The sequence below is a fragment of the Homo sapiens genome, chromosome 3 (assembly GCF_000001405.40).
Source record: "Homo sapiens chromosome 3, GRCh38.p14 Primary Assembly".
NCBI classification, from domain to species: domain Eukaryota; kingdom Metazoa; phylum Chordata; class Mammalia; order Primates; family Hominidae; genus Homo; species Homo sapiens.
In genome coordinates, this window is record NC_000003.12 from 53,297,376 (window position 1) to 53,321,871 (window position 24,496).

Below are 24,496 nucleotides of genomic sequence, written 5' to 3' on the forward strand. Positions count from 1 at the left end.
TTTTTGAGATGGAGTCTTGCTGTCACCCAGGCTGGAGTGCAGTGGTGTGATCACGGCTCACTGCAACCTCCACCTCCTGGGTTCAAGTGATAGTCCTGCCTCAACGTCCCAAGTAGCTGGGAATGCAGACATGCACCACCACGCTCAGTTAATTTTTGTATTTTTAGTAGAGATGGCATTTCACCATGTTGGCCAGGCTGTTCTTGAACTTCTGACCTCAGGTGATCTGTCTGCCTCGGCTCCCAAAGTGCTGGGATTACAGCCACCGTGCCTGGCCAACAAGACTAATTCTTATTAATGCAAATTAAACAGCTCATAACCACCCCATTCTATTACAGACATATGTATACAAACACACAAACCAATATTTAGGTATAAACTACTTTGAAAAACAGAGATCAGATTGGGTCTATGTTGCAGAAATTTAAGAAAAGGAATAATCAAATGGCAGGACATGGAGAAACCTCATCACAAAATACACCTGAGGCATAATCCAGACAGCAATTTTTCCTTGTCCAGTGAAACATAAATTAACTTTGAACAGCCAAAAATCTACTTTAAGTCAGGCAGAGTGCCTCATGCTTATAATCTCAGCACTTTGGCAGGCCTAGGCGGAAGCATTGCTTGAAGCCAGGAGTTTAAGATCAGCCTGGTCAACATATTGAGACCCTGCCTCTACAAAAAATTTAAAAATTAGCTGCACAAGGTGGTGTGCACCTGTGGTCCTGGCTGCTTGGGAGGCTGAGGCAGGAGGATTGTTTAAGCCCAAGAGTTTGAGGTTACAGTGAGCTATGATCAGGCCACTGCAATCTAGCCTGGGCAACAGAGTGAGACGTTGTCTCTACAAACACACACACCTACTTTAAATTAAAATATGAAACCACCATATGGTAGAACCCTGACCCCTGACTTTAAAAGCAGCAGAAAGTTTCTAGATTCTCTATGCTGCCTCCCTATAACTACTGCGAGGCCAGACAGATTCTCTAACTTTCTCTAGAATGGGGAGTATGGTAAAGCATTACAGTTTTGGAGGTTTTCTCATATAAGAGAGAATAAACGAATTTGTGATGGTAATAATGAATCATCATACACAGAATGCTTACTATGTGGGAGGCGATATGCTAAGCACTTTACATGTATTACTCTATTCATCTGCTAGAGTAGGTAAATTATTATTGCTACTTTATAGATGATGCCCAAATACAACAAAAGAACCAGACTCCAACTCAGTTCTAACAATACAGTCTACATTCTTAAGCAGTGTGCCACCATATGGAGATGTCAATTCAGCAAAGTATAGGTTACCTAATCACCTGGATGGTGATACTTACCTCCGGAAAACAGGTACAGCTAAGGTTTGAATAACTGAGGTGGCTACAGATCAAAATGCATCAACGTTTGGAAATACTATCATTTGGCACAAACCATGTTTTGGTCAATGATGGACTGCATATACAACAGTGGTCCCATAAGAATATAATATTGTGTTTTTACTAAACCTTTTCTATGGTTAAATATACAAATACCAGTGTGTTACAAGTGCCTATAATACGCAGTGCAGTAATGTGCTGCACAGGTCTGTAGCCTAGAAGCCATAGGCTATCCCATCGAGCCTAGGTGTTAGTAGGCAATGCCATCTTGGTTTCTTGGTTTGTGAAAGTATAAATACACTCTATGATGTTCGGAGAATGAAATCGCCTAATGACACATTTCTCAGAAAGTATTCCCATTGTTAAATGACACATGATTATACCTAACTGGTTGAATTTGTCATAGGAGCCTGGGTGAGCAGAATATTTCTCTTCACACAAATTCCCAAAAGTTTCACAGTCTCTGCATTCTTTTCTGTTTCTGATAAGAAAAACTGGTTGCCCTCCTCTAGTAGCTGGGCTTATTTATTCATGAATTAACCTTCCATCATCCACAGAAAAGGTAAAATGTTATTCTTTCCTCATGCTTGAACATGCTTCAAGTTAGGATTCTGAGTTTTTTAATACTTCATGTAGATCAAGTGTTAGTCTGACCGTTTAGCTCAGGAAATGGCATTCAGCGAGCAACAGCATGTACAGCACAGGACAAAATTATCATCTTCAGCATCAGGTTTAATATGGTTCACTCCTCATCCCACGGAGAATTGATGTTTAGAGAATTTTACATGTCTGTTTGGAGCTACTGGTCACTGCAGTGGGCACACTATAAGATAGGCACTATTCTTGAACATAGGAAACAAACAATAACAAAATACACTACAGAAACAATCCCAAGAAAAGTTTAAACAAGTGAATTATGCAACTGAAATGGAATGTAATACTATTAAGGCTTGACAGCAGTACTTGCTCCTCAGCACTAGATGGCAGTGTTACTAAACAAATGTAGTATCTGCCTGTGGCGGCTGATGATAAATTTAAACTAACTTTAGTCAATCACATGACTTCTGACAATATCCAGATCTCAGTATTTCATAAAATTTTGTCACTATAACCTAAATAATGGAGTCTTCCTCCCACCCCGAGATGGAGTCTTGCTCTGTCGCCCAGGCTGGAGTGTGGTGGCACGATCTTGGCTCACTGCAACCTCCCCCTCCTGGGTTCAAGCAATTCTCCTGCCTCTGCCTCCTGAGTAGCTGGGATTACAGGCGTATGCCATCACGCCCGGCTACTTTTTGTATTTTTAGTAGAGACAGGGTTTCACCATGTTGGCCAGGCTGGTCTCAAACTCCTGACCTCATGATCTGCCTGTCTCGGCCTCCCAAAGTGCAAAGTGCTGGGATTACAGGTGTGAGCCTCCATGCCCGACCAAACGTGAAGTTTTAAAAGTATATGAAAAATGACGGAATAACACATCAGCACTGTCTGTACCACTTGAGTTCTGTATGTCTACAGACGCAGTGCTATTGTTGAAAGGCTTAGCATCTATGGCTTGTCACACTCATTTTTCATCTTTCAATGGACAGTGCTTTATGACTTTTTTTTTTTTTTTGAGATGGAGTTTCACTCTTGTTGGCCAGGCTGGAGTGCAATGGCACAATCTCAGCTTACTGCAACCTCCGCCTCCCGGGTTCAAGCGATTCTCCTGCCTCAGCCTCTCAAGTAGCTGGGATTACAGGCATGTGCCACCACCCCTGGCTAATTTCTTTTCTATTTAGTAGAGATGGGGTTTCACCATGTTGGTCAGGCTGGTCTTGAACTCCTGACCTCAGGTGATCCACTTGCCTTGGCCTCCCAAAGTGCTAGGATTACAGGCGTGAGCCACTGTGCCTGGCTGATTCTTTTTTTTGTTGTTGGATTTTTGAAACAGGGTCTCCCTTGGTCGCCCAGGCTGGAGTGCAGTGGTGCGATCTTGGCTCACTATAACCTCCACCTCCTGGTTTCAAGTGATCCTCCCACTTTAGCCTCCTGAGTAGCTGTGATTACAGGCGTGCACCACCACACCCGGCTAATTTTTGTATTTTTATTAGAGACAGGGTTTCACCATGTTGGCCAGGCTGTTCTCAAACTCCTGGACTCAAGGGATCCGCCTGCCTCCACTTCCCAAAGTCCCGAGATTACAGGTGTGAGTCACCATGCCTGACCTTATAATTCTTAAGTCATTTTTTTCTGGTCCATTTCTTCCTTAGGGTCTCACAACAAATCTGCATTAGGCGGTACAATAATCCTTAACTTCATGATTCACAAAAGGAAGATGAAGTGATTCATGATTTAGAAAGGGGAAGTAGTAAGCCCACTGCACACTCCTGGATGATGATCCTAAATCCAGATACAGTAAAAATGGGGTATGGGAAGGTAGAATACAAAATTTGGTTTAAATTAATTATCTAAATATCTAAAAACATTTTTGGATACATTGTTGATGTGAATGTAAGACTGTACAGACTTCCTAGAAAACAGTTTGGTGGTTTCTTTCTTTTTTTTTTGAGACAGGGTTTTGCTCTTGTTGCCCAGGCTGGAGTGCAATGGCATGACCTCAGCTCACTGCAACCTTTGCCTCCCAGGTTCAAGCGATTCTCGTGCCTCAGCCTCCCGAATAGCTGGGATTCAGGTACCACCACCACCATGCCCGTCCAATTTTTGTATTTTTAGTAGAGACGGGGTTTCACCATGTTGGTCAGGCTAGTCTCGAACTCCTGACCTCAAGTGATCCACCCGCCTTGGCCTCCCAAGGCAGTTTCTTATTAAACTAAAACATGCAATACCAAATGACCTGACATTTGCACTCCTGGGCATTTATCTCAGAGAAATGAAGATTTATGTTCACATAAAAACCTGTACATAAATGTTCATAGGAGCTTTATTTGTAATAACCCAAAACTGAAAACAATCTAGATGTTCTTCAGTAAGTGAGTTGCCAAAAACAGTTAAACAAATTTTAGTACTTGCGTATCATGTAATACTCTCAGTAATAAAAGGAAACAAACTTGATACATGTAACAACTTCAGTGAAATGTTCAGGAATTATGCTGAGTGAAGAAAGACAATCTCAAGAGGTTATATATATGATTCCATTTATATAATATTCTTGAAATGACATTATAGAACTGGAAAATGGATTAATAGTTGCCAGGGCTAAACGATGGCGGGATCGGGGAGGCAGAGGTAGACGCAGAGGCAGAATAGGGTATGACAGGGAAGTCAGTGTGTTTATGAAAGGGCAAAACATCTTGGGGGTGATGAAAATATTTAGCATCTTGACTGTGGTAGTGGATATACAAAAAGCTATACATGAGATAAAATTACACAGAACTGAATATACACACAACAAAGGAAATCTGAACAACATGTGTGGATTGTGTTAATATCCTGGTTGTCATATCGTACTATATTTTGCAAAATGTTATCAATGGGCAAATGGGTAATGGGTACATAGGATCTTTCTGCATTATTTCTTACAACTGCATATAAATCTGTAATTATCTCAAAACAAAAAGTCTACTTAAAAACCTACGGATTTTATTTGATATCTGTTCTTTTATCAGACTATCAGTTATAAAGAGAACTAATTCAACAAATATTTACAGTGCTACATGCTAAGGATACAGCAATGAACAAGGCTCATAAAACTGCCCTTCTTTCCCGTAAGAGACAGCTTAAAAACAAAAAAACAAAACTGTTTTACATGGTGCTTATATTTTGGTGGGCAGGAGACAGACAAAAAACAAAAACAGAAACCATCTTAGCTGGTTAGAAACCTTAGTGAGAAAATAAAGTACAGTAAGAGGATGGAGGTGAGGAAGGGTTGTTTTATTTTATTTATTTACTTATTTATTTTGAGCCAGAGCCTTGCTCTGTCGCCTAGGCTGGAGTGCAGTGGCGCAATCACGGCTCACTGCAACCTCCACCTCCCGGGTTCAAGCAATTTCTCCTACCTCAGCTTCCCGAATAGCTGGGATTACTGGTGTCTATTACCACACCCGGCTAATTTTGTATTTTTAGTAGAAACGGGGTTTCGCCATGTTGGCCAGGCTGGTCTCGAACTCCTGACCTCAGGTGATCTGCCTGCCTTGGCCTCCTGAAGTGCTGGGATTACAGGCATGAGCCACTGCACCTGGGAGTTTTATTTTATTTTTAAATTAAATTAAATTAAATTAAATTTTTGAGACAGGGCCTTGCTCTGCTACCCAGGCTGGAGTGCAGTGGTGTGATCATGGCTCACTGCAATCTCAAACCTCCTGAGCTCAAGCGAGGCTCCTACCTCAGCCTCCCAATTAGCTGGGACCACAGGTGCATGACATCACGTCTGGCTAATTTTAAAATTTGTTTCTAGAGAAGGGGTCTCACTATGCTGCCCAGGCTGGTCTCTAACTCCTGGGCTCAAGTGATCCTCCTGCCTTGGCCTCCCAAAGAGCTGAGATTACAGACGAGAGCCACTGTGCCTGTCCAAGGGGTGTTACTGTTATTATTTTTTTCTTCCTTGAGACAGAGTCTTACTCTGTTGCTCAGACTGGAGTGCACTGGTGCAATCTCGGCTCACTGCAACCTCTGCCTCCAGGGTTCAAGCCATTCTGGTGCTGCAGCCTCCTGAGTAGCTGGCATTACAGGCACGTGCCACCACACCCAGCTAATTTTTGTATTTTTAGTAGAGACAGGGTTTCGTCAATTGGCCAGGCTGGTTTCAAACTCCTGGGCTCAAGCGATCTGCCTGCCTCAACCTTCCAAAGTGCTGGCGTTATAGGTGTGAGCCACTGTGCCTAGCCAAGGGTTATTTTAAATAGGGTAGTCAGAGAAGGCCTGACTTATGGAGGACATATGAGGCTTGAGGGAGTAAAGGGAGCAAGCCCTATCTGGGAGGAAAGTATTACAGGCCAAGGGAACAAGTGCAAAGGCCTGTCTCGAGGCAGGAACATATCTGGCACATTTGGGGAAAGACAAGAGAGCCAATGGGACTGGAGCCAGGTGAGCAATGCAGAGTGACAGATGAGGCCTGGGGTAGAGGGGCCAGATAAGGTAGGGCCTCGTGGGCCACTGTCATGATCCTGGCTATGATTTGAGTGAGCTCGGACACTGCTGGAGGGTTTTAAGCAGAGGAGTGCCATGATCTGACTTATGTTTTGCAAGGATTACTCTGGCTGTTGGGTTAAGAATAGGTAAGAAGCAACCAGGGAGCAAAAGATGGGAAACCAGGTAGCAGGCTACTGCAAAATCCAGATTAAACAGTTACTCGGATCATGACCTAGGAGGATGTCATTATGTTGCTGCACATTTGAACCTTGACACAACTGACAAATCAAACTTGCACTCATTAGAATCCTTACTGAATGTTACTCTTTGTTACTTAGGACAAAGCTAGAGCTTTAGCTGTACAAACCTTATCCTGTGACCCGGAGGGCATTTCTTCTAGAGTCTCGGTGCTTCCCAGATTGGAGAGCTGAGTGCTTGGCTGTAACCCAGGGCTGGAGATATTTGAGTCACCCATCTGATTCTTTAAAAAGTTAAAAGAAAAAAATATATCTTGTGAAAAAAATTTGCTATTATTTGGCTCACAAAACAGCATCTGAGGTTATCAAAAATGTTATTTTTTAAAAAGAAGAAGAAAAACCAACCTCAAAATGTTTGCTCTGTACTCCAATGTAAATAACATGCAATAAAATTTCTAGAACATTGAGCACCTAATTTTAGACAACAGTGTTGGCCACAACTGTTATTTTTATCACCTTTTTAAGAAAAAGATAATGGTATTACTTTATCACATATTCTTTTAATCTTATTTATTTGTTTTTCCAAGATGGAGTCTTGCTCTGTTGCCCAGGCTGGACTGCAGTGGCGCAATCTTGGCTCACTACAACCTCTGCCTCCTGGGTTCAAGCGATTCTCCTGCCTCAGCCTCCCGAGTAGCTGGGATTACAGGTGCAAGCCACCATGTCCAGCTGGTTTTTCTTTTTTTTTTTGTATTTTTAGTAGAGACAGGGTTTCAGCATGTTGGCCAGGCTGGTCTCAAACTCCTGACCTTGTGATCCATCCACCTCGGCCTCCCAAAGTGCTGGGATTATGGGTGTGAGCCACTGTGCCCAGCCTGATTTTATTTTCAAATAAAAGCTAACATATGGTGAAATGAATTTTTAAGGGGGTGTACAGTTCTATTTATGTCCCTATCAGCATAATCAGGATACAAAACAGTTCCATCATCCAAAAAAAAATTCCCTTGTGCTGTCCTGTTGCAGTCATGCCCTCCCTCCACTCCCGGCAACTAGGTCTATTCTCTCTCACTCTAGTTTCGTCTTTTCAAAGATGTCATATAAATGAAATATAAGTAGAATGCCAGCTTCTTGCACTTAGCATAATGCCTTTAAGGTACATCCAAGCTGTTGTATGGTATTAATAGTTCACTCCTTTTTATTGCTGAGTAGTATTACATTATATAAATACGTGAGTGTTTAACCATTCACTCACAGAAGCACATCTGTGTTGTTTCCGTTTTTTGGTAATTATGAATACAACATCTATAAACATTGATATAGGTTTTTAAGTGGACAAAAATTTTTTTTTCTTTTTTTTTTTTGAGACGGAGTCTCACTCTGTTGCCCAGCCTGGATTTTAGTGGCTTGATCTCAGCTTACTGTGCTCTCTGCCTCCCAGATTCAAGCAATTCTCTTGCCTCAGCCTCCTGAGTAGCTGGGATTACAGGCGCGCGCCACCACACCCAGCTAATTTTCATATTTTTAGTAGAGACGGGGTTTCACCATGTTGGCCAGGCTGGTCTCGAACTCCTGACTTCAGGTGATTCACCCTCCTCGGCCTCCCAAAGTGCTGGGGTTACAAGCGTGAGCCACATCGTGCCTGGCAAAATTTGTTTCTCTAGGGTAAATACCTAGGAGTGGTACTTCTTGGGTCATATGATAAATACATTTTTCTTCTAAAAGTTTTATAGTTTTATATTTTACATCGATGACACATTTTGAGTTGATTATTCTCTAAGATGTTATTAGGTTAGGTTTTTTTTGTCGCATATGGACATCTAATTGTACTAATATTATTAAGTTACCATTAATGTGCTCATGACATTAAAAATGAAAATAATCTTGTTCTTAAAAAGAATCCTCAAAAAATGATCAGACCAATAGATGGACATGGAATTATGGGTTATGAATTCTTGAATATTTGTGCTATCTGATCCGGCATCTGATGAACATCATCCATGCCAAAACCGACACCAAAAACAGTTCAGAAAATGCAAGATATGAGATTTTTTTAAAAAGCAGCCCTAAACTCAGTTCACAGACAGATTTTCTTGATACCATGCTACAGACAATTAATGCTTATCACAGGAGTAGGTACTCAAATATTAAATGGATGGCATGTGTTTTTTCCCACCCAAATGACTTAATCCTTATATTATTTCAGAACATCATTTACTCAGTGTTATCAATTTGAATAGCGGCGGAACATTTGGTGAAAGCCTATGAAATATCTCAATCTTTTAACATGCCTCTGTTTGCAACATCACTATCAACCATATCAACCCCATTATGTGGAATGCTTGGAACTGAATTATATTACAGAAAATATAAAGTTAAAATATTGTTCATAACAAGTTCTTAAAACAGAAGGTATAAATGTTCAGAAACATTAAAAAGTTGGGGCTGGAAGCAGTGGCTCCCAGCACTTCAGGAAGCTGAGGCAGGAAGATCACTTGAGACCAAGAGTTCAAGACCAGCCTGGGCAACATAGTGAGACCCCATCTCTACAAAAAATAAAAATAGAGACCATCCTGGCTAACACTGTGAAACCCTGTCTATACTAAAAGTACAAAAAATTAGCCAGGCGTGGTGGTGGGCGCCTGTAGTCCCAGCTACTCGGGAGGCTGAGGCAGGAGAATGGTGTGAACCCAAGAGGCAGAGCTTGCAGTGAGCCGAGATTGGGCCACTGCACTCCAGCCTGGGCAACAGTGCAAGACTCCGTCTCAAAAAAAAAAAAAAAAAAAAAGCCAGCCTGACCAACATGGTGGAGGCTGAGACAGGTGGATCACTTGAGCCCAAGAGTTTAAGGCTGCAGCAAGCTATGATTTTCTTTTGCTATTTTTTTGTAGAGATGGGACTTCACCAACCATGTTGCCCAGGCTGTTCTTTTTTTTTTTTTTTTTTTTTTGTGGACTGAGTCCTGCTCTGTCACCCAGGCTGGAGTGCAGTGGCGCAATCTTGGCTCACTGTAACCTTCGCCTCTTGGGTTCAAGTGATTCTCATGAACCTCAGCCTCCCTCAACCTCCCAAGTAGCTGGGACTATAGGCACATACCACCACACCCAGCTAATTTTTCTATTTTTAGTAGAGATGGGATTTCACCATGTTGGCCAGGCTGGTCTTGAACTCCTGACCTCAAGCAATCCACCCGCTTCAGCCTTCCAAAGTGTTGGGATTACAGGCGTGAGCCACCACACCCGGCCCCAGGCTGGTCTTAAACTCCTGGACTCAAGCAATCTATCTGCTTCAGCCTTCCAAAGTGCTGGAAGCCATATGCCACTGCCCCAAGCCCCAGATTTGTAATTTTTAGAGACAGGCTGGATAAGGTTGCAAAACCTTATCGGCAATAACTGAGAGCTGGGCTGTAAATGACCCTTTACATACGAACTAGCTCTCAACCTGCTTCAGTTCCACCCGGCCTGCTTTACTCACTACCATGGCTTCCCTGGCTCTTGGGGCATTTGATTTGCAATTCTTAAGTATAAGCAATAAAACTGGCTTATATTGTTAGGTTGTACTTTAATGAAAGTTCTCAAGAATTTAATGTATTTCTGATACTTGTGCAGGGCCTTTCTTGGAGATTTTGTGTTTGTTAATAACAGCATCCAGTGTTTGTAAAAATGAGGGAAAATGGGCAATCAGACAAACCTGCTGGAGGGTGATTTTATAATATTTGGTAAAAATCTTAAAAACATAAAAATGCTTTGATCTACCAATTCCATTTAAAGTAATTTATCCTAATAAAAAGTTAATGCTGTACATGAGGATTTTACAAGGATTTAGCTATAAGGATATATCGCCAAGTTCTTAATAGAATTAGAGAAGCCTAGGGTATCATTTATATAATGCACATAAGGAAAAATACACAGCTATAAATATCAGTTTTTTCAAAAACTTCATTCTACCAAAGGAAATCTCATAGGGATTCTCTGTGAGATGAATAGTTACTGTCAATAAAAAAGATAGTTATTTGGAACAAAACAGGTTACCAAAGAACATTAATAAATCTAATGTACACAAACATACCACTTACACTTGGACATATTTTTGCAAGGATACGTAACAAAGTATTAGCAGTGATTATTTCTAGGTGGTAGAACTATGATATTTTCTTCTTTTTGTTTACTGTAATTTTTGAATATAAAACGTTCTCTGTAAGCTGTTTTAAAAAAAGAAAAAACTTTTCTATAGTTTATACTGCTTACATAATAAGAAAAATAATGGTGTTCATGTTTATTTAGGTATTTATTTATTTTTATTGTTTTTTGAGACAGGGTCATGCTCTGTTGCCCAGGCTGGAGTGCAGTGGCAGAATAATAGCTCACTGTAACTTGGAGCTGTTGGGCTCGTGATCTTCCCACCTCAGCCTCCAAACAGCCAGGACCACAGGTGCACACCACCACACCTGGCTGATTTTTAAATTTTTTATAGAGATGGGATCTCATTATATGTTGACCAGGCCTGTCCTCAATCAATTCTCCTGCTCCAGCCTTCCAAAGCGCTGGGATTATAGACATAGCCACAGCGCCTGGCCTATCCTATTTTTTTCTTTTCTTTTTTCTTTTTAAGAAACAGAGTCTTGCTGTCACCTGAGCTGGAATGCAGCAGTTCAATCATGGCTCACTGCAGCCTCGAACTGCTGGGCTCAAGTGCTCCTCCCGCCTCAGCCTCCGGAGTAGCTGGGACTACAGGTGTGTGCCACCATGCCTAACTAATTAAAAAAAAATTTTTTTTTGGTAGAGACAAGGTCTTGCTATGTTGCCCAGGGTGGTCTGAAACTCGTGGATTCAAGCAATCCTCCCACCTCGGCCTCCCAAGGTGCTGGAATTATGGGCATGAGTCACTGTGTCTGGCCTCTATTTTTTAAGAACAAAAATACCCTGGACTTTAAAAAACTGTTTTGCAATTAAACTAAAACCAAACAAACAACCATCCGCACCCCCCTGACCAAAATCCAGGATTACATCCTATGGCTAGAAGCAACTCATAATGGGCCAAGTGTGGTTTCAACTATCTTTCTTTACATAAAAAATAAGAAAGTTGAGGCTAGGTACGGTGGCTCACGCCTGTAATCCCAGGACTTTGGGAGGCTGAGGCGGGCCAATCACGAGGTCAAGAGATTGAGACTATCCTGGCCAACATGGTGAAACCCTGTCTCTACTAAAAATACAAAAAATTAGCCGGTCATAGTGGTGCATGCCTGTAGTCCCAGCTACTCAGGAGGCTGAGGCAGGAGGATCACTTGAATCTGGGAGGTGGAGGTTGCAGTGAGTCGAGATCGCGCCACTGCACTGTAGCCTGGCAACAGAGCGAGACTCCATCTCAAAAAAAAAAAAAAAGGAAAGTTAATTAAAAGATATTATAGAAGTGCAATATCTTTCTTTTGAAGAAAATGCTTATTATACAGATTTTTAATTTTCAAACAGTCTCTAGGCTGGCCACAGTGTCTCACACCTATAATTCCAGCACTTTGGGAGGCCAAGGCGGGAGGACAGCTTGAGCCCAGGAGCTTGTCAAGATCAGCCAGGGCAACATAGTGAGACTCTATCTCTACAAAAAATAAACAAAATTATCCAAGCATGGTGATGCATGGCCTATAGTCGTGGCTAATTGGGAGGCTAAGATGGGAGAATGTCTTGAGCCTGGGAGGTAGAGGCTGCAGTGGGCCAAGATTGTGCCCCTGCACTCCAGCCTGGGCAACAGAGAGACCCTGTCTGAAAAAAGAAAAGAGTCTCATTATTACAAGTGCTCATTCAAAAGTCTGAAATTTCGTTCATTATATCATACTCAGCAGATAGCGGAGACTCAGAATCAGGATTAAATCCCAACACTGAGGCCTAGCTTGCACCCCTGCCCTTGATTGCCAATCTTCTGAGTCTTCACCTAAAGATAAACAAAGGGGCCGTCTGAAAAAATGTGGCAGCTGAAGGGAGCCCATCCAAACACCAAGACCCATGAATTCATGGGTCACTGCTTATACCAGCTCCATCTGATGAGATGATAGACAAATGCAGATAAGAGAACAAAACTCTAATTCAAAGAAGCTCCACCTATTGCAGACAGTTTTCAAAATCAGAAAGAACACATGATAAAGTAAATATCAAAGATTTAACCAAATCCCAAAGGGTTTCATTTTAATCTACCCATAGACGATATTTTATTCCATAGTGTGAAAGAAGTTTATTTAAAACAGAAACTATCATGCTATCTATATTCCTTTTGTAATATTGATATAATTCAAAATAATGTCAGATGTTTAGATTGCCCACCTGACCCTAGAGTTCCTTTAAAGTTTTGTGTTCAAAGCTAATGTCTTATTTCCTACTTTCTCGTTGTGGCTACTTAACCTCTCAGCCTGAGTAAGCCAGGCCACTTACTGGAGTATCTGCTTTAGTGCGCAGCACCTACAGTTTCTGTCCCGTGTGGTACCTTGATACAGTTATTACTCAGGATGAGTGACAGAGCCCTGGACTTACTAGGTACCTATGAGAACACTGAAAGGGCTCTACAAACAGAACAAAGTATGTACGTAGAAAATCCGCTTGTCATCAAGGGTAGAAGAGGGGAATGTAAGGTAACTTCTAAATCAGAAAGCCATTCTTGAAGTTAGTTCTCATTTGGTTTCCTAAGAATCGATTAATTTATTAGAGAGGTGACTGCTCCTCCAAATTTAACTTCCATAGATCCATTCATTCCTCCTAATTCTCTGTGAGACATTGAAGAATTTGGTACAAACTTGAAACTTCTCATGGGCTCTCATGTACATTTCTCCACCCTGGAGGTGGGACTTCCTTTGTTATCAGAATGTAGAAGGTCTATGTAGTTTATGGTGAACATGCCTATTTTTAGTCAGAAGAAACTATCTTTCAGAACACTTTTTTCAAACTTTTTCCTGAACTCCAAATTCTTGAGTTGTTAAAGGGCAGTATGCAAAAAATGGTCCTGCAGTCAAGTCAATCTGGGAATTGGTGTTATTGTTTTACTTATTGCAGGACCTCTCAGTTTTGAGCTCTGTAAAGTCCCAAGAGGATGGGAGGAGGAAGAGTCATGCTAACAACAGTACCTTAACTCGTTTTGCCAATTTGAAGCTTTTTTCAGGATCACTGATTAATAACTTAGTAGCTGGTATTATAGCAGAACTGTATGGGAAACAGGGTCTTTTGGACAGTGCTTTTTCACATTTTGTTCCTTGAAGTTCTGGTGAGGTGAAATAGGCATGAAAGGAAAGCACTTAATTCAATATTTAATGAAGAGTAAGGTGACAGTATAATTCTGCTAAAACAAAGTTCAGCAGTAGAGAGCTTGTCTCACTCCAGTGAAGTGTGGGGGCTTTGAGGTGCCAAGTAAAATTCCAGGAGAGTCATAACCATGAAATGCCCACTGCTTGCACATAGTAGATGGTTCATAAGCAGGTATTGAATAAATTAACGAAAGTACCACAATTGCCATTTTATTCAACTTTTGGGAGAAAATTTTATCAGCTAATTTATAAACTAAAATGCACAACAGAAGAGAAAGAAAACAGTGAATTTCAGAAAAGCCTCTCATTTGGGTAAAATTCCAAATGAAGCTTAATGAAGGTTGTGCATCTACCACCAATTACAGACCATGAGTGTATTTTTTAGTATTATGTGGTACAAACTATCAGAATACTTTTCAAAGCCTAAACAAATTCCTAGGACCACTGAGGATCCTAACAGAAACTGCAGTGGTGAAGAAGAGGCACGAAGCTTTACCAGAACTAGCTGCTGCGAGCTAACTTCTGCACTCCAAGACCATCTTCTCCCATAGTAATCTTATAGGAATAGAAAAAAGCATTGTAAATTTTCCTGCCAAAAACAAGTAATCTGGGGTAAGCAAGTTCTTTCCTTATGTTTTAGGTTTAAAATTGTAAGACACATCTGTTTTAAAAAAAAAAAAAGAGAGACACAGGGTCTCACTGTTGCCCAGACTAGAGTGGAGTGGCACAATCATAGCCCACTGCAGCCTCCAACTCCTGGAGTCAAGTGATCTTCCTTCCTCAGCCTGCCAAGTAGCTGGGACTGATTACAGGAGTGTGCTAACACGCTCTCTTTTTGAACTTATATTTCTGCCGTCCCTGGAGGCCAGCTTCCCTAGTAAAATAGTCTCCTGCAGACCTCCTCCTCCCGTTTTGGTCTTCCCTGGTCAGCACCCAAGTACCCAGAGAGCCTCACCCTCTCATACTCATCCTTGGCTCTGCTCAGCATCTCCAGGATGTCGATGGGCCTGTGGTCGCTGCAGCCATTGGCCTGGCTGGGACTCTGTTTGTCCCGAGCAGCTTGCTGGGATCGCCGTGTCTCCTCTTCTACCACACTAGAGGAGAAGAACAAGGTTTTAGAAAGGCCTCTTGAAACAAAATCTGACCCAAGATTTCTTTTGGTGTTCATCTTCCAAGGATACACTAAGAGTGTCACATGATGACATTCTTCTTTTTTTTTTTTTTTTTTGAGATGGAGTCTCGCACTGTCGCCCAGGCTGGAGTGCAGTGGTGTGATCTCGGCTCACTGCAAACTCCACCTCCTGGGTTCACACCATCCTCCTGCCTCAGCCTCCGGAGTAGCTGGGACTACAGCGCCCACCACCACACCCGGCTAATGTTTTGTATTTTTAGTAGAGATGGGGTTTCACCGTGTTAGCCAGGATGGTCTCAATCTCCTGACCTCGTGATCTGCCCTAGGCCTCCCCAAGTGCTGGGATTACAGGCCTGAGCCACCGCGCCCAGCCGATTACATTATTCTTGCAATATATAACACAGAACTTCAGTTACCTCATTTCAGAAATAAATGACTTACCATTTCACCGTCTCATTAACAGTGCCAATATTTACCCTTCAGAAGGATAAAAATACAGAATTCCTTCCTAGAGTTGGCAGAGATGCATTACAAACTCCACTAAGGTTTCTCCCTTTTTCCCTTGAAGTATTTCAAAATCAGTCAAACTAATTGCTAAAGTAAATATGAAAACTGACAGTTCCACCAAGACACAGGAAGGCTGCATAGTTGAACAAATCCTCTGTGGAAAGTTTGGATTGACACTGGGCTAGCAAGGACAAAGTCAGTTCTTGAAAATAGAGGTCTTGGTGAATCCTTAAAAGTTAGTAACACTATAAGCAAATAAAAGGTTTCCCTTATTCTCCCTTTTAAAAACCACCAACTTAGCCTGGGCAACTTGGCAAAACCCCGTCTCTACAAAAAATACAAAAATTAGCTGGGCGTAGTGGTACACGCCTGTAGTCCCAGCTATTTGGAAGGCTGAGGTGGGAGGACTGCTTGAGTCTGGGAGGTAGAGGCTGCAGTGAACTGAGATCACACTACTGCACTCCAGCCTGGGTAACAGAGTGAGACCTTGACTCCAAAAAAAAAAAAAAATCACTAAGTGGGCTTTCAGTTTTTAAGAACACCCCCTTCTCCCTTGTAAAGAAAGATCTGAAACAATTACAGCAAAATATTAGGAACTGAAAGCTGGGTGGTAAGCACATACATATTTTATTATTTCCTATATTTTTCTTCAAGCTTTCAAGCTTGAATAATAAATTTTAATAAAGCAACTTTTTTTGTTTTTTTTAAGATTCATTCAGGCCAGGCACAGTGCTCATGCCTATAATCCTAGCACTTTGTGAGGCTGAGGCAGGACGATCACTTGAGCCCAGGAGTTTGAGACCAGCCCAGGCAACATAGTGAAACCCTGTTTTAAAAAACAAAAAACCCAGCCTGCACAGGAGCTCTCATTAGAGTGTGGGGAAGAGGTGAACAGAGATGGCTTTTTTATTTAAAAATACTGGGTTAAACAATATTAAACCGACTTAAAAAAAAAGAAAAAACAGAATCCTTGAGTTTTATTATTATTTTTGTAGAGATGGAGTTTGATATGTTGCCCTGGCTGGTCCCAAAACTCCTAGTCTCAAGTGATCCTCCTGCCTCAGCCTCCCAAAATACTGGGATTAAAGGCATGAATTACCACAACCCACCCATTGAATTTTTGTTTGTTTGTTTTATTTATTTTTTTATTGTACAGACAAGGTCTCACCATGTTGCCCAGGCTGGTCTCAAACTCCTGGCCTCAAGCAATCCTCCCACCTCAGCCTCCCAAAGTGCCGGGATTATAGACATGAGCCACCACAACTGGCCAGTTGATTTTTAAGCATGCTAAAATTTATTGTGATTCTCCAAGAAGGGCAGGCCTATAGATTTTCTCAAATTTTATTTGACTATAGAATTTTACTCTGAGGTAGAATTCCTGTTTGGAAAATGTGGCTTTAAGGTAACATGTAGTTTTTCTATCTAGATTCATAATTATAGCTCTTAATAAGACTATTACTTCTAAAACAAATGTAGCATCATGAGCTTCATGGTAGACTGAAAGACTGGTATGGGATATGAGAATAAGACCAAACATGAATTGTTTATTTAATGCTCAAATATAGGCCACATCAGCCTGAATCCATCTTCATAAAGGATCTGTCACACGGCCTGTTTTCCACCTACCTCCTGACATGTTGCCTGACTTGGCCATGCTGGTATTTAACTCTTCCCTGACCCAGACTAGGATCTGTGATTCTGTGATTATTTTGGTTTAAGAGAAGAATATTTCTTTTCTTTTTCTTTTTTTTTTTTTTTTTTTTTTGAGACAGAGCCTTACTCTGTCACCCGGGCTAGAGTGCAGTGGTGCGATCTCGGCTTACTGCAACCTTCGACTCCCGGGTTCAAGCGATTCTCGTGCCTCAGCCTCCCTAGTAGCTGGGATTACAGGTATGCACTATCATGCCCGGCTAATTTTTGTATTTTTAATAAAGACAGGGTTTCACCATGTTGACTAGGCTGGTCTTGAACTCCTGACCTCAAGTGATCTGACCACCTCAGCCTCCCAAAGTGCTGGGATTACAGGCGTGAGCCACTGCGCCCAGCCAGAACAGGTAATTTTATAAAGCTCACCACTGCTGAAAGCAGAAGCTGTCGGGGGTGGTAATGGAAGGGACTCTCACATAAACGAGGCTTGGACTCTAAGGCCTCTTCTAATCCAAACTTTATGGATAGCACTCATGCCATTCTCCTTTCCTTTCAAACACCAAAACCTACCCCTAAGATGTCTGTAAGATCAGGAATAAAGCTTACTTCCATGAGTTCTCCAAAGTTTACATAGTCTATGTGGCCAAACCGTCAAACAACTTTTTATTGTTAAAAAGAGTTTCTGAGGCCGGGTGTGGTGGCTCACGCCTGTAATCCCAGCACTTTGGGAGGCCAAGGTGGGTGGATCATGAGGTCAGGAGTTCAAGGTCAGCCAGGTCAAGATGGTGAAACCCTGTCTCTACTAAAAATACAAAAATTAGCTGGGTGCAGTGGCAGGCACTTGTAATCCCAGCTACTCGGGAGGCTGAGGCAGGAGAACTGCTTGAACCCAGGAGGGCGGAGGTTACAGTGAACCCAGATCACGCCACCACATTCCTGGGTGACAGAGCAAGACTCTGTCTCAAAAAAAAAAAAAAAAAAAAAAAGAGTTTCTGGCAGACTGGATTTCCTCTTTAGGAGAGTCAACAGCTTCTAAGTTTAGTGGGTTTTCAACTCTGCCACCACTGACCAGAGAATATACAAATTTAGATGACATAGGGTCTAGAAGCTCACTCATTTTCCTACATAGTTTCTCGTTTTTATAAACATTGTTTGGAGTAAATCAGTTTGTTGTTTTTTTTTTTTGTTTTTTTTTTTTTTGAGACGGAGTCTCGCTCTGTCGCCCAGGCTGGAGTGCAGTGGCACGATCTTGGCTCACTGAAAGCTCCGCTTCCCGGGTTCACGCCATTCTTCTGCCTCAGCCTCCTGAGTAGCTGGGACTACAGGTGCCCGCCACCATGCCCCGCTAATTTTTTTGTATTTTTACTAGAGACGAGGTTTCACCATATTGGCCAGGATGGTCTCGATCTCCTGACCTCGTGATACGCCTGTCTTGGCCTCCCAAAGCGCTGGGATTACAGGCGTGAGCCACCGCGCCCAGCCTGGAGTAAATCAGTTTTTTTACTTGGAGGATCTTTATTATATTGTGGCTGTCAAATAGTGATGGGAAGAACTGTATTTAAAAGAATGGGCACTGATGGACACATTTATTTATATGTATAATATACTAACAAGAACTGTGCTAGTATTTTTGGATAGTAGAGGTGATATTCTCAAATATGTAGCAAACAACAACAACAAAAAGTAACAAACAGGTTTATGCAGGCAGATTTAGAACAAAGACAGATAGTCTTCTTTAGTTTTGGTGACCAGAGAGGCATTTATCACAAAGTTAATGGTAACATACAATATTCTCTTCAGCTATAAATAGGCCAGACACTTAAAACTCATTATCAACAGTTTCACCAGGGTATTCTCTAATCACTTTTTTTTTTTGAGATGGGATCTCACTATGTTGCCCAGATTGATCTTGAACTCCTGGGGCCCAAGTGATCTGCCCACCTGGGCCTCACAAGTATTATAGCTGAAATGACAGGTACACACCACTGTGCCTGGCTTCTCTAATCACTTTCTTTTCTTCTTCCCTTTTTTTTTTTTTTTTTTTTTTAATTAAACAGAGATGAGTCTTGCTATATCAGGCCAGGATGGTCTTGAACTCCTGGCCTTAAGCAATCCTCCCCGCCTTGACCTCCCAAAGTGCTGGGACTACAGGCATGAGCCACTGTGCCCAGGCTCAAATCACTTTTAATAACACATCTGTTTCTAGTCAAACAAGCTGAAAATTTAAGCAATTGTCCCTTTTCGGGCATTTCTGGTGAAAGAAGCCCCAATGCTCTTCTTTTCCCTTCCAGCTTTCCATTTCTACTCCTAATCCTATTTCTGGGTTCAATAAAATATTTTTAGATAGGCCTTCAGTCTTCAGCTTCATTTATCATTTGAAATCTTGCATTAGGGGTAACACTTGCCCTGATAGATAAACGGTTTTCTTTCAATAGTTGTTAGAGCTAAAAGAGCCAGATCATTTCACTCAAAGCCCACGTCCTCATTCTGCAGGAGAAAGTGTTTATATATTAATACATTCCAAAGTTTAGAAAAAATCTGGATTTCTGGATAACCATGAATCAACAACCCTGTGCCTTTTTGTTGTTGTTGTTGTTGTTTTTGTTTTTTTGAGACAAAGTTTCACTCTTGTTGCCCAGGCTGGAATGCAATGGCGCGATCTTGGCTCACCGCAACCTCCAGCTTCCGGGTTCAAGTGATTCTCTCGCCTCAGCCTCCCGAGTAGCTGGGATTACAGGCATGCACCACCATACCTGGCTAATTTTGTGTTTTTAGTACAGACAGGGTTTCTCCATGTTGGTCAGGCTGGTCTCGCACTTCCAATCTCAGGTGATCTGCCCGCCTTGGCCCACCAAAGTGCTAGGATTACAGGCGTGAGCCACCGCGCCCAGCCAACCCTGTGTCTTCTAGGTAACCACAAGTAAGCTGCCTTTGCTGTCACTTTCAAAGCTAAAACAAGTGATCATCTAATAAATGGCTATGTTGAAAAATGGTTTTAGCTGGGTATGGTGGCTTGTGCCTATAGTCCCAATTACTTGGGAGGCTAAGGCAGGAGGATCCCTTAAGCCCAGGAGTTTGAGACTAGCCTGGGCAATACGGCAACATCCTATCTCAAAAGAAAAAAATTAAATTAAAAAATGAAAAATAGTTTTATCTTTTTTAAGAGAAAAAGTGTTCTAAAAACAAAGCGTGGCTCTTTTTTCAAGCCAACATTTTTTCAAGTATAAGTGACTACAAGTTCATACAGAACGATGCCCTTGGGGTGTACACAAGTAATAAACATGGCCCTGCCCTGCAAGCTCACAGCCAGAACAGGCAACAAAGCAGGGGGCCGATAACTTCCGATCAGGACATGTTAGTAGTCTTAGATCACAACCTGGCCTTAGCCATGAACTGAGATTCTGGGTTAATTACTTATATATACTTTCATGAGTTTAAAATTAGGCTGTTGGCCTGGCATGGTGGCTCACGCCTATAATCCCAGCACTTTGGGAGGCCAAGGTGGGAGGAACGCTTGAGCCTAGGACTTCAAGACCAGTTTGGGAAACATAGTGAGACCCTATCTCTACCCACCCCCCAAAAAATTAGCTGATAGTGGTGGTGCATGCCTGTAGTCCCAGCTACTTGAGAGGCTGAGATGGGAGGATCACTTAAGCCCAGAAGTTTGAGGCTGCACTGAGCTGTGACTGCGCCACTGCACTCCAGACTGCGTGACAGAGCGAGACTCTGTCTAAAAAAAACCAAATAAAGTAAAATAAAATAAAAATAAAATAAGATTAGACTGTTAAAAAATTTAAGATTATTTTCTTTTAAACATGTGATTGAAAACTGTAAGAGAGCAAAAGGAATTTTGATTTGACAGATGGGGATGGTGGAGGGGGGAGAGAGGTCCACATTTCTGAGAAGATTCAGGCAAAAACTGAAAAAAAGCAGAGGTGCACCAGAATATACCGTCTACCTATTATAGCATTTTGCCCAGAGCTCTGTAGTCCCTCAGGCCCCCTGAAGCCCCGTGTAATGGGCTTCCAGAATCCAGAATGGCAGTCCAGCAATACGGATAGGTCACACAAGGGCTGGCTTCTACAGGCTAGCTTGAGAGAGGACAATGAACTGCCCTTTAGAACATTAATTCAAGGAAAATAATTTTCTAAATTTCAAGGTTCTGAGTCACAAAAAATCTTCTGGAACACAACCCATGAGTGGATTGGGGCCTGTTAAGCCTAGAGTCTGTGTCAAAAACAAGTTCACTTAAAAGAACTAAATACAGATGTGTGTATGAGTTCTCTATCAGGCTATCACATATGGTATCACTTGTTACAGTGGAAATCTGCACAGAACCTAAATCAGAGTTGCTGTATATGGTCAGGCTGTACACCTGATGCAGATATCCTCTGGAGCCGGGCAGTTTGGCAGCCTTAACCTACAGGTCCAACAGTAAAGTTCTGGTTAAATCATGATCTGTCTATAGAGCTGGATACAATGCAGCTGTCATAAATACTACAGAGAAAGATTTAATGCCCTGGAAAAATGCTGTTGATATGAAAAGCAGTATACATACAGTAGGATCCTATTTTTGTAAAAAAACAATCACACACATCTACTTAATATATACACAAAGAAGGAAGACTGGAAGGAAACTGAAATGCACACTGGGAGGAGTTAAGATAATAATTATATATATTTTAAAGCTTTTCAGCCTTTTCCAAGTTTTTGGCAGTAAAAAGAAATTGGGGAAATACATGAGTTGGCAGACTTTAGTAACAAAGAGAAGTGGGAGGGGATTATTTTTCATTTCTCACATATCATCAGTTAAATTTATGGAGTAATATACTTACTCAGCCATGAGTTTTGCTATGCGGTGACAGTCATTCTTGTCATAAAACCAGATACTATATATCGACACTTGAAAAACAAAGGGAAAAAAAGATAAGAAGAAATGAGGTTTCAACATTTGGGTGTATGTAAATAATATATTATCATCATGGAATTCACTAAATGTACCATCAGACCCTCAAATTGTTAATACTCTATCTAAAGAAAACAAGTATCTCCTCCCCAAATTCTGTTTAATAAAATCAGGACAGGTAAAACATTCAGATAAAGATTACACAAAATAGTTTTAGACATTATCACCAGATCTCAGTGAACCTAAGATGTTACTAAGTGTAAGATGCAACCATTATTTATGTACTATCAAGCTTTTAAGCAAAAGGCTCCCAATTAAACTAAGAATCATATTGATTCTAAGATGCATTCTAAATTGATATTAAAATTGTTGCCGGGCATGGTGGCTCACACCTGTAATCCCAGCACTTTGGGAGGCTGAGGTGGGCGGATCACTTGAGGTCAGGAGTTTAAGACCAGCCTGGCCAACATAGGTGAAACCCGTCTCTACTAAAAATACAAAAATTAGCCAGCTGTGGTGGCGTGCCTGTAATCCCAGCTACTTGGGAGGCTGAGGCAGGAGAATCGCTTGGGCCCGGGAGGCAGTGGTTGCAGTGAGCCGAGATCACGCCACTGCACTCCAGCCTAGGCAACAGAGTGAGACTCCATCTAAAAAAAAAAAAAAGATATTAAAATTGTTACAATACAAAGCTTTCAAAACAAACCCCAGCTCTATATCCATCCTATGACTGACTGTTTACATGTGAAATGGACTGAGCTCAGTCTATGGCATTTCTTATCCCATTCTTTTTATTCCCAATATGGTGCTCAGTTCAAAGAAAGCCCTAAACAAACTTGCTGCAAGATAAATGAACTTTATTAAAGATTATAATATATTAAAGCTACTATAACTGCTTTTTGGATAAGGTAGAGTAGAATACTGAACATACAAGCTGAAACAGACACACGGATGGATAAGACCCATTGCTACCATGTGGGCCCATATGATGACACACCTCAGCATACCTTGTACCTCCTTAAATACTTACAATGATTCCCTAGCACAGAAATGGCAGGTATCATTATGCTTTTTTTAAGAAAACATTAAAACTTTTTATTTTGAAATAATTGTACCTTCAAATGCAACTGTAAAGAACAGACAGATCTTGGTGCCCTATAAATTGTTTCCTCCAATGGTAACATTTTACAAAATTATGGTATACTATCACAGCCAGGATACTGACATCAGTCGAGATACAGAAATTTCCATGGCCACCAGGATACCTGGTGCCCTTTTATAGCCCAAATCCACCTTGCTCTGGCCCCTCCCGTCCCTGACTCTTGGCAAATAGGAACCTGTTCTCTATTTCTACAATGTTGTAATTTCAAGAGTATTATATTACATAAATGAAACCACAGAAGTCATAGAAGACTGCTGTCCATTCCAAGCTGGTTGTAATGAGATCCTCTTTGCTATTCCTGCTCCACTGACTTCATGGAAGGGAGACGCAGAAGTCCCCTGGCGGCCAATTATTATTAGTGGGGCTTCCAATCCTTGCCAGTTTTGCTGGGCTGGCCCAGTATTGCTGGCAGGACTCTCATTCAGTCTAGGAGAGGAATGAGCCTACCCGGGCCACCTTCTGTTGCTAGGTTGAAGGTCAAGAAACATCAGGCCCAGGCCCCCTTCTTATGTTGGGTGGGGGTTTGTAAGACACTTTGCTGCTGCTGTTCTGCCAGTTCTGGGTTCCTGACCAGATCATCCTCTTTCTATCTTTCAGAGTTCTCCAGATTGTCTGTTGTGTCATTTCCAGGTTTTATAGTTGCAAGTGGCAGGGAGAGACAAGTCTATGCTACTCGGTTTAATTGGAACTTTCATTTTGCATTTTTATGGATGGGAATAGGGGTTAACGGAGAGACTAAGTAACTTATTAACAAATTAGAGAAAAAAATCAGTCTCAGAGCTATAAGTAAAACTTGGGTCAGGCTGGGCATGGTGGCTCACGCCTGTAATCCCAACACTTTGGGAGGCCAAGATGGGCGGAGCACCTGAGGTCAGGAGTTTGAGACCAGCCTGGCCAACATGGTGAAACCCCGTCTCTACTAAAAATACAAAATTAGCCGGGCATGGTAGCGCATGCCCGTAATCCCAGCTACTCAGGAAGCGGAGACAGGAGAATTGCTTGAATCCAGGAGGTGGAGGTTGCAGTGAGTCGAGATTGCACCACTGCACTGCAGCCTGGGCAACAAGAGCGAAACTCCGTCTCAAAACAAACAAAAAAACCCAAAAAACAAACTTGGGTCTTCTCACTCCTAGACCAGTTATCTTGTCACTACATTTTCATTGCTTACATCTCATTACATTGAAATAACATTACAATTTTTTATAGAAACAAAAAGTTAGTGAGCTTCAGTTATG

General features: G+C 41.7%; 1 protein-coding gene across 5 annotated transcripts in view, besides 1 other annotated feature; it reads right to left on the minus strand.

Moving 5' to 3' along the window:
* Positions 1-24,496, minus strand: part of DCP1A (decapping mRNA 1A) — a 64,115-nt gene that overhangs the window by 13,947 nt on the left and 25,672 nt on the right. For 3 of the 5 annotated variants that reach the window (NM_001290206.2, NM_018403.7, NM_001290205.2), the window contains 3 exons: positions 22,032-22,098; positions 14,866-15,004; positions 6,802-6,915 (listed from right to left, as the gene is read on the minus strand). In NM_001290206.2, coding sequence (NP_001277135.1) covers positions 6,802-6,915; positions 14,866-15,004; positions 22,032-22,039 — 261 coding nt within the window. In that variant the 5' untranslated portion in view covers positions 22,040-22,098. The remainder of the gene's footprint in view (positions 1-6,801; positions 6,916-14,865; positions 15,005-22,031; positions 22,099-24,496) is intronic. The other 2 variants (NM_001290207.2, NM_001290204.2) reach the window with 1 other exon arrangement.
* Positions 4,290-4,459: an enhancer, noted in NCBI's record as "experimental_70700 CRE fragment used in MPRA reporter constructs". NCBI's record gives its function as "activates a minimal promoter by MPRAs in K562 erythroleukemia cells, with activity observed for the introgressed 3:53335780 variant allele {active_cell/tissue: K562}" and the evidence as "EXISTENCE:reporter gene assay evidence [ECO:0000049][PMID:34662402]".